Here is a 10,820-nt window from a genome sequence, read left to right on the forward strand (position 1 = left end):
GGGCTTTTGAGCGTGTTCACCAGGTCCCTGGTTTACTCCATTGTTGGGTGTCATTGCCAAAGGAGCCCCCATTGAGCTGTAGCTGTGAGCAGGCCCAGAGATCTGTATCAGGGGTTGATGTAGTTACCCTGGGCCTCCAGTAGTGAGTCCTCTTTTATTTGGTTTGTGGTGGAACTACTTCATCCCAAATGATATTCTCTAGCAGACAGAGTAATTTCTTTCTTTTTTTATTTTACCAATGATCTCTTCCCTCTTCACTGTACATCCAACATCCCCGTCATTAGAAATTAGTTCAGAGACAAAAACCTTCTTATAGAACCAGTGGAATCTTCATTCAATTGAATCCCCCTTGTAATCATTTGGGTTATGGGCTGTTGGAGAATTTATTAAAAACTGTGAAGCAGCTCCTTAGAAAAATGCACATACACCCAAAATGTTGCATGCAATTTCTCGTGGTTCACAGACTTTGTTGACACTCCAAAGCTGCTACCTCTACCTCTTGTGAACTTATGCTTATGGAGAGGGTGCTAATGTTGGACTGGGTTTTCTGAGCTGAGGAACCAGCTTCGGAGGATGGGTTGTTCTCCCCAGGGCAGGGGAGGGAAGCAGGAACAGTCATAAAACAGTGAGTGTTTTCAACGTGCTGGGTAAACTAAGAATAATTTCAAACAGTCATCCACAGAGACAAGCAGCCTTACCTTAGGTCATTTTCCCATTTGTCAGCAACTAGCAACAAATGGATACTTATTAATTTATGTAATCATTCAATCTATAAATCCTTGCTGAATTTTTTGCATGTGCTGAGTCCTTTTCCCAGAGTACAAAATGAGAAAGGCATAGCCCTTGTCTTCAAGGCAAATACAGAAACAGGTGAGCTCCAAGACCATAGAAGCAATCATGGAAGTAAAAGAGCCTATTTTCATCACCACTTTCAAATGATGGCACTTCTGAGAAGTGCAGATGCCTTCAGTGTATCTATCTACTGGGACAACAAATCACCTAACAGTGGACTTTTTCTGACCATTATCGGAAGGTCAAAGACACACTCCCAGATCTGTCTGCCTTGATGTATCCTCTTTTCCTCCTCCCTAGCCAGAAGAAAAGCTGTGGCTAGTTTGCACTTTATATAGAAATACCTAAGAATATAGAGTCCAGAGTCCAGGCAGCAGCTCCAACAATGATGCCTGGTTAACTGTTCTCATGGGCTCTGCTGTGTGCACCCTGAGGATCACACTCTTGCCCTTTTAGGGTTAACCTTCCAAGTTGGTCCCAAATGAGGCAGGTGGTGTTAGGAACTTTCATCAAATTGGTTTTAAGCCTGATCACCTCTCCACAAGCCTTTGTACTGAGCATTAAGGCAACCCATATAGACCACAGATATCTCCTTCTCTATTCTAATTATTCGAGAGGCCAAATGCTGACTTCTGTCCACACTTTACTGGTGGGAGCTAGGCCTTGGGTCGTTCTGGGCTGTCAGTGGCATTATGTGACCGTGAAGCCATCAACCCTGCAAAGGTTATCCTCTATCACTGGCATTTGGTTCAGAGCAGCATGACTGACCAACAAATAATTATCCCCGGAAATAGTGAGGTCTTCCTCTGAGAGCCTTTGGGAGTTGTTAACGATAAATTAGCAAGAGCTTGATGAGCCACTGCCTTCCTAAATTGATTTTGCTGAGTCATGAGGGGTGACTTTATGACTCAGCAATCATGACCTATCCTGCCTTTCAGGAGGACTGGCATTGGATTTGCTGCCATTTATCTTCCATTCCACAAATCCCGGGACCCTCTAGATAAAGGTGTCCACTGATACACTTCCTAACAGATTGTGGGGAGGCTTTGGGTGTTTGCATGCCGCACCTTCATTGTTGCTGTTGTTGTTGTTGTTAAAATAAGGTGTGTTTAAAATATACAACTAACCTGAAGCTGTCCTTCCCCTACCTCCGACTTCTTTTCCTGACCACAAGCCTCCATAGTGACTGTCATTCAGCTTGTCAACAATGTAGTTGACACTATAGAGAATGAAGGTATTTACTTTTTTTCTTCCATAGCATTTCTTGAAATTTTGCTTCCTTGTTACTTTGGACTAGGAGTGATTTTAATGGATTGGCCACAGAGGGGGCAATAAACAGCTGGTTTCTGATGAGATGTGGGATATTTATGGATCTGTTTTAAAATTTTGAAAAAAAAAAAACCCAGTTCATAATTTGTAAAAAATATATAAGGTACCCTCTTTATAAAATCCCTTTCAAGAAAAGAGCACCCAATTAGTTGCAATCCAGATTAATACTAAATTTATCTTTATATTCAACATGTGTTCATTGAGCACCTATTATGAGCTGGGAATCCTTAAGAAATCATTCACAGCTGCAATATTATGGATACTTATTTCAACCACGTAACTTTTATTAGTAACTTAATAAAATTAGGGCCTGGCATAAATGTGATTTATCTGTTTTGTTTTGCTTTGTTTTTTCCCTAAATAACAATGGGAAGAAATAAAAAAGGCTAAACTTAGTCGTAGCCCACAGGCCTTTAGGAGTATGTTTTTAAAAGTCATCTCAAATGTTCTGTTTTATCCCTCTTCACATGGTTTGGACTGTCAGTTTTACTTTTCACTTTGTATTTAAACAGTGTCTGTCATGGACCAAGGACAGAACTACAACCGAGGTGACTGTGCCGCAACCCTAGCATAACTTTTTGTGTGTTTGTTTTGAATTGCTGAGTTCATTCTTACCCTGTTCCTGTGCCTCTGCCCTGATCTGAATTTTGCATGTCTCAGGTGTCTCGTGCGCTCAGTATTGGAGGTGAAAGCTCCACCAGCATTCCCCTCCTAGCCTCATCCTCTGTGCGTGTGTTTCACCCATTTGCCTGCACGCCTTCCTGCCTCCTGTGGTCCACAGCACAGCTGATGGACCTCTCTGCAAGCATGTTGCCAGTCTGGCTCTGCAATAGCATGTGTCTAGGAAGAGGGAGTGGGGACAGTACTCAGGGGTCCTGGAACTGTCTCCTCGGCGTGCCCTCGCTCTTCGTCTCATGGCATGGCTGAGTGTGAGGCTCTGCAGCAACCAGGCATCAACCTGTCAGAGTTGCCATCACCTTGTTGTCCGCAGGCCAAAGCATGGCTGGCCCCATAGACCCTTGTAATAAGCTTCTTAGGGTTTCTTGGATGCTAAAAATTGCATGTCAGGTCCCTTCCCTGCTCCTTTCCCAGCAAAGCACCAACTCCAGTCTAGAGGAAATTAACTGTCATGGTTTTTCTCTTGCAGCCTATCACTGGGACACCTCTGATTGGATGCCAGGGGCCCGCCTGTCGGACATAGAGGAAGTGCCCAACTATGAGAACCAGGATGGAGGGTCTGCACACCAGGGGAGCACACGGGAGCTGGAGAGCGATTACTACCTGGGTGGTTATGACATTGACAGTGAATACCCACCCCCTCATGAAGAGGAGTTCTTGAGTCAGGACCAGCTGCCTCCTCCTCTCCCGGAGGACTTCCCAGACCAATATGAGGCCCTGCCACCCTCCCAGCCTGTCTCCCTGGCCAGCACACTGAGCCCAGACTGCAGGAGAAGGCCCCAGTTTCATCCTAGCCAGTATCTCCCTCCTCACCCATTCCCCAACGAAACGGATTTGGTGGGCCCGCCTGCCAGCTGTGAATTTAGTACTTTTGCTGTGAGCATGAACCAGGGCACAGAGCCCACAGGCCCAGCAGACAGCGTGTCTCTGTCCTTGCACAATTCCAGAGGCACCTCATCCTCGGATGTGTCTGCCAACTGCGGCTTTGACGATTCCGAAGTAGCCATGAGTGACTACGAGAGCGTGGGAGAGCTCAGCCTCGCCAGCCTTCACATTCCCTTTGTGGAGACTCAGCATCAGACTCAAGTGTAGACATCACATCTTGGGTACTTCACCCTGTTTGTTACAGAAAAGTGGAAGCAGATTGGCTGGGCTTCTGTCCCAGTGGAGCATTGTCTGTGGAATGAGAAGGGAATACTGTATTTTTCCACTAGAAACTTCTTCACAAGTCATACTGTCCCAACAAGCAAGCTTGATTCCAGTTGGGTGAAAATGAAAGGCTCAGAAATTGTTTTTGAGAGGTGACTGGTAATCCTTGATGTAGGTACCTATGTTCACAGCTAAAAATGCAAAGAGGGAAAAATTATTTCACCCACTAAGTTATACAGCCAGTCTTGTATGGCTTTGTGCAGTATTGTGCCCTGGAAAGTGTTACAGCATCAGTCCTTGCAGTATTAAAAACTGGCAACAATCAAAGAGGCATTGTTGCATGTAATTTTGAGCCAATGAAATGAAAATAGTAGTAATGATTGTTGGAAAAGTTAGTCTCTTAGGCGAAAGAGAAGAGAAACAAATATTATTAAACAAACCAGAAAATGGGCTGAAGCCTTTTAAATCAACTCTATTTTTTTGATAAGCTGCCCAATTTTCAGCTATAAAATTAGGCTTGAATAACATGTTTAGTATGCTCAGTTATTTCTGTTTGTTTGTGTTAAGCATCCAATCTAATATAGTTGGGTTTTATGATCTTCAAGAAAGGTATCAATGAAGAGCAACATGAGGCTTTTTGGGTTCCATTTGGTGGGTGGGGGAGGAAGTTAAAGTTGTTTGAACATTAGAAAGAATGTGATTATCTGGTTGGTTTTGTGTTTTCTGGTAAATATTCCAGTTGGTAAATCTAACATTGCTACAGAAGTTGGCTTTGTTCATATAGCTTCTCTACAATTAGATATTTTTAGAAGTTTAAGCAAAACTCACAAATTCAGGGGGGAAAAAAGAAAAAACGATACCTTCAAAGTTTGCGGCCTAGATAATCACAATTCTTCATAATGCAGAGGAAAGGTGTCTGTTATTCTAAATCGGTAGCATCACCATTATAAATACAATTATGTTAAGAAAAGAGGAAAGTAGACTAGTTATTGTGTATAAATTATAATAGTGTGTGTGTGTCTGGGCCTATGTACAAATATGTGCTTGCACTCAGTAAGGCTGCTCTTGAGGAAAGCTAATGTGAAGGTTTTGGGAAATGGACCATGTTGAAAATTCTGCCGGCGAGCATGGCATACCTTTCAATTTCTCTGATCTCTATGGTGTTAGAGAAACATCAAATGCCATATTTTACTCTGGTTCAGTTAACTTTATTTTGGTACTGCCAATAAAGCAAAATTGTGCTTTTTTTTTTTTTTCTCAAGACAGAGTCTTGCTCTGTCACCCAGGCTAGAGTGCAATGGCATGATCTCAGCTCACTGCAATCTCCACCTCCTGGGTTCAAGCGATTCTCCTGCCTCAGCCTCCCAGGTTGCTGGGGTTACAGGTGTGTGCCACCACGCCTGGCTAATTTTTTGTATTTTTAGTAGAGATGGGGTTTCACCATGTTGGCCAGGCTGGTCTCAAACTCCTGACCTCGTAATCCACCTGCCGTGGCCTCCCAAAGTGCTGGGATTACAGGCATGAGCCACCGTGCCCAGCCCAAAACTGTGCTTTTTAAAAACAGTATTTTGTTATAATTTTCCAGAACTTACCTCTGTTTTAAAAGTGTGTAATGTTTGATTACACCCTGGGATTCCCTTCTCATCTGTGGGCTTTGGCCATGATTTCCAAAATTAACAGGAGAATCATTCCACTGGAAATATAACAATCCAGTCCTCAAAACTGAAAGTTGACAGGTTGAGGGACTTTCCTTTTTTGCTTCAATCAGATTACGGCCGCCTGTGCAGTGGCCATGGTAAATATATGCATATTTGCACTATCTGCTTAATGAGCAAATCTGTGTCCACAGTTTCTGATGACATATGGCATTGGTGTGTAAATTGTACTGTCCCTAGTCTGTGCATTATTCACTCAGACATATTTTTAGTTATTTCAATTGCGTTTAATCCACTTCTTTTTTATGAGTCAGTGTTTCTGAATGTTTATGCAAAAAAAAAAATCCTTTTTCATTCCCAAACTTTCTAAGTAAGTGGATACACTACACTTCACAAGTTTTCCAGCCTTTCTCTTCCTGTCTCTTGGTCAGACCTACTCATGGAGGTATTATCCACACTGTGATCTTGAAATAAATGAATTTCACTAAGGCTGCTTTCGAGAACAAAGTCTTTGGTATTTTTCTTATGTAAGAAGCACATTTGCAAGAATCATGGAAAAAAATGACAAACTAATGGCCTAGAATAGAGTGACTGCTACACTTTAAGTAATGCAATGACATAAAAACCATCAAAGTAAAACCAACATGTCATTTCCTGCCCCCAGGAAATATTAGAATGAGATTAATGCTGATGAGTCCCTACTGCTTACACAGCATCTCTTTGAGGGAGAATGCCTGACTGACACAGTAATGAAAGAATAAATAGATCCTAATGCAGTCATGAAGCCACTGAAGAAAATTGTGCCCACCCTTTGCTGTGACCTATATAAAATATCTCTTTCTTTGGGATATCATCCCCTGATTTTCTGCAGAATAGCTCTGCAGCTAAATATATACCAGGCAAGCATGTATTGTGTTTTGATTTATTATCTTTAAACACATGATATCTCTTCACTTTTTGGAAAGTTAGATTTCTCTGTAGATTATGAAATGCTTTGCAGTCAGGCCAAGATGCTACTAGGTGGGGATGATCACTAATTCAAAAAAGCTGGAAGAATCCTATTTGCTAGTCCAAACTCCTTATTTTATCAAAGAGGAAACATACCCAGAGTGGGAAAGAGACTTGCCCAAGCCCACAGAGGAAGTTAATTCGCTTAACAAGGAGTAGAACCCATCCATCTAGCCAATATTCTTTTTACATCATATTGTTCACCCCTACACTGCCTTGAGCATGGGAGTCACCTGGTTCTGATGGACCCTCTGACTTCCACCATTCCTTCTTTGGAATATGCTATAAAAGAAAATTCATGGAGAATATTTTTCTGAAAGCCTCATGATCTTATGTTTCCTTGCAGTCCCCCTAGGGAGAGGGGTTATAGAATTCATACATTTCTGTAGACATTCATCGAAATGCTGCTTTTGCCAAATGAATGTTTGTATAATAGGGATGAAATGATAATTACAGAGTTCAGCTCAGACCAGTCATCAGTTGTAGTGAAACTTTGATTATACTGTTACCTACTGGTTGCATTTTTGGTTTTGGTTTTGCATTTTTTTCTTCCCACAAACACTGGCTACTCTTTGTCCTACCCCCTCCACCATGATGAACCATGTGGAAACTATTTAAATCAATTAATGTCTTTCTCATTTTTCGAACATGTATGTGCCACCTCCTGGAAGCCATTTCCCATAATCTGTTGTAGGCACTTTACTAGTATTGCACACATTCTGGTTAGGTTGAGAATAGCTAGACTCTTGGTGCTCGTCATATAGTAAGCAAGAACTTGGGAGTAATAAAAGGTGAATAAAATGCATGCTTCATTTATTCCCTTTCCTCTATGAATATTTTGCTGCTGCATTCTAGTCTATGCCAGCTTTCCATGTACCCTTGGCCTGCCTATTCATGAAATGCCATATAAAAGACTTAGGAACATGAGTAGGTGGTCCATGCTTTGAGGTTCATCCAATTAGGGAATAAATGTGAAAGGCTGGAAAGGGAACTAGTTTCTGGGATTTGCCTGGAACTTCCCTTGGACATTACTAGCACATTCTGGAAAAAAAGCAAGTTGAACATATCTACCATCAGTCCTCTCCTACTTACTTCCCACCCCACCCTATCCACTACCCCCACTGATGCTATGTTTGCATCATCAAAGTCAGGGGAATTGAGAAAAGAGATTATCAAAATAAATTATTAAAATCCAGAAAACAGTTTTATGTGAAGTAATTCAGGAAGATCTAGTGTTCATTTTGCATGGATTGTCCAGATAATTGGCTCTTCACTCCGCTGCCTTCCCAGTGCACAGGTATTGCTAAAGTGGTTAGGCTTTAATGTTTTATGTTTTTAGTTTCAAACTATGGGAAATGGAGATTTGAAGAGGCATTTATTCCTTGTCATCATTTTGTGTGCTCTGTGAGAAGGTGGTTATATGTTTTTGCTGGTTTGTGTCCCACAGTGTTCAACTGCACATTATTCTGATGAAAATCCACAATGTCTTTGAGCTTCTGGTTGTGTAATGCTGGGGTTTAAAGTCACCATTTGTGGGTTTGGCATCAATTAATATTTAGCCAGCTGGCTAAGAGATAGGAAAAGAATATGATATTTCTTTCCTTATGTAATAATGAAAAGCAATAATTACAAGTAGGTAATAATACACAAAGGCCATAATTAGTCTCTTCTAGTGTTTAGAATGCACTTGAGAATCGTAGAGTCATTTGGAGCGTGTTTGGACCAATTAGTATGTACTGTAGTACCCTTCTGGCAAACAAATAACTGAATTGCTACTATTTAACAATCTTATGAGCCCACACTACTGCATTTTGGGAGTGGCAAATGTGTTTGGAAATGGAAGCAGTTCTTTTTAAGCACTGTATCAGAGAGATTGTCTTGTACGTTTGCCTGTTGCAAACAGGCTGGTTTGTAAAAGATGTATGTTTTGGTGTTTGAAATGTTTATAAAATTGTATATAAATGGTTTCAATTTTCCAGGCTTTTGTAGATACTATATTTGATGCCTATCAGGATGCTTTAATTTGGGGGGTCGAATATAATTGTAAGTCATCCACGCTGTTGGTCTGCAAACTTTTGAGGTAACTACACACACACACACACACACAAGGATTTTAGATTTGAAAATGATGTTTTTTACTCATTTCAAAATGTACTGTAACCTTTCTTTGGTTCTTACTGTTTTCATTTAACTTTCTCTGTTTTCAAGAAAAATTGTCTTTATTGACATTTGTAAAAAAGAATGTGTTTTGCCCAGTTATTAAGTATTTTATTTTTATGCAATTTCAGAATCACAATGAGGTATGCCATTTCTTCATATACATGCACATTCACCTCAACTTGCACACACATCACACACCAAACCTTATGCAAAGGGGAAAGCTAACACTTAGAGTGGATTTTGTCCCTTAAGGAAATGGATTGTTCCTGCATATATTGCTGGTGGCAGTATTCAGTCTTGTGTTCTTTTTCTAAAAAAAAAGAAAAGAAAAGAAAAAAAAAACAAAAGCAAACAAAAAAAAAGACAGCCAAAAAAAAGAAACAACAACAACAAAAAAAAACACAACAGTGTACAGGTTTGTAACTGCCAAAATTTGATGGTTAAAACAAGTTTTCAAGTAAAAAGAAAAAAATGAAACTAGCAATTGTGTTGACTCTTTTTAAGTGTTTCCTTTTCTTTGTCTTTAGTTCATTGCTCGCATGGTATTTAGAGGTGTATTCCACAGGGCATGGTAGAAAGACGTGGTACAGAGCAAAAAAGCTCTTTAGCCCTAGTCTACCTCTCAAAGAGAGGGGTCTCTGGTCTGACAGGGACATTTTAGTTTTGTTGTGTTAGTGTGGCTTCCCCAACCCCCTGAGACTTTTTACCTCCAGAAAAACTTCTATCTGTCCTGGTACACATGTTGAAATCTTATGTAACTTCTTACTGAGCACACGCCTTGTGAGATTTTTTCCCTGGTGGGAAAATTGAAAAGAGTGCTGGAGGCTTGAACAAATAAAGATCATCGAGTCCTACATCTGTGGAAATCTAAGCACATCCCCACCTCTTCTAGACAGCAGCTCCAGCACTCCTCTCCCTCAAAAATAAATAAATAAATAAATAAGGTTTTTTCCAAAAGTTTTCCAAAGGTTTGGGGCACAATTGAGTTTTCCTCCAAAAAGCTCCCGAAAATGTTCCATATGGAGTGAAGGTCTGTTAAAATATACACAGAAGAGGTTACAGACAGGGAGTAGGGCTCAAATTGATACAGCTGACCTTGAGCAAGGGAGGTTTGAACTGCACAGGTACACTTAAGCGCAGATTTTCTTCTGCCTCTGCCCACCCCCCCCCGAGACAGCAAGACCATCCACTCCTTTTCCTCCTCCTCTTCTGTCCACTCAATGTGAAGACGATGATGAAGAACTTTATAGTGATCAACTTCCACTGAATAAATAGTAAATATGTTTTCTCTTATGATTTTCTTAATAACATTTTCTTTTCTCTGGCTTACTTCATTGTAAGAATATGGAAAATAATACATGTAACATACAAAATATGTGTTAATCAACTGTTTATGGTACTGGTCAGGCTTCTAATCAACAGTGGGCTATCAGTAGTTAAGTTTTGGAGTCAAAAGTTATGCATGGGTTTTTACTATGAGTGGGTTGGCACCCCTAACACCCATGCTGTGCAAGAGTTAATTGTAATTTGCAGAAGTGACATCACAAGGAGTTAGCGTGGGACCAGGAAGAACTCCAGAAAGGGAGGAATGCCCTCTGCCTTGCCTCTGCAGTCTGCGCACAAGCAAGGAAAGGCCCCTCTATGGACCTCGCTGGCCGCCACCACAGTGTGTCCCTACCTGCGCCAGCAGCAGAGCTCACCTGCCCCACCCAACCAGGATCCTGGAACTGTGAGGCCACTCCCTGGGGAATGGCCCCTAGCTACATATTCACCTACTCTTTGCTTGAAATCTATGTTGATTTCCAGAGCTCATCTTTGGCAGTACTCACCGCACTGCAGTTCTCTGGATGCTTGTCTGTTCCTCCAGGTAAATGTTTCACAAACTTCTGAAAGAGGAAGAGCACCAATCTGTTGCCTCTGCCAATTTCCATTGTATAAATACTCCGATCATGGCTGATTTCAGGCTACCAAAGTAATAGGAACTAGTTCACAAAATTCCTGACAGTCTAACAGTCAGCTCTCACAAGCCAGTGTGAGCTGACTCCAGCA

The 10,820-nt window shown here is 41.2% G+C and overlaps 1 protein-coding gene across 11 annotated transcripts in view, besides 1 other annotated feature; it reads left to right on the forward strand.

The window, feature by feature from the left end:
- Nucleotides 1-9,251, forward strand: part of FAT3 (FAT atypical cadherin 3) — a 671,656-nt gene extending 662,405 nt beyond the window's left edge. For 7 of the 11 annotated variants that reach the window (XM_017017179.3, XM_017017178.3, NM_001367949.2 and 4 more), the window contains 3 exons: nt 1,967-2,026; nt 2,634-2,669; nt 3,269-9,251. In XM_017017179.3, coding sequence (XP_016872668.1) covers nt 1,967-2,026; nt 2,634-2,669; nt 3,269-3,891 — 719 coding nt within the window. In that variant the 3' untranslated portion in view covers nt 3,892-9,251. The other 4 variants (XM_017017182.3, NM_001008781.3, XM_017017180.2 and 1 more) reach the window with 3 other exon arrangements.
- Nucleotides 1,262-2,461: an enhancer, noted in NCBI's record as "MED14-independent group 3 enhancer chr11:92621650-92622849 (GRCh37/hg19 assembly coordinates)". NCBI's record gives its function as "activates an origin of replication core promoter dependent on BRD2, BRD4, P300/CBP and CDK7 cofactors, and independent of MED14, by STARR-seq in HCT116 cells {active_cell/tissue: HCT116}" and the evidence as "EXISTENCE:reporter gene assay evidence [ECO:0000049][PMID:35650434]".

Source organism: Homo sapiens, chromosome 11 (genome assembly GCF_000001405.40).
Source record: "Homo sapiens chromosome 11, GRCh38.p14 Primary Assembly".
NCBI classification, from domain to species: Eukaryota; Metazoa; Chordata; class Mammalia; order Primates; family Hominidae; genus Homo; species Homo sapiens.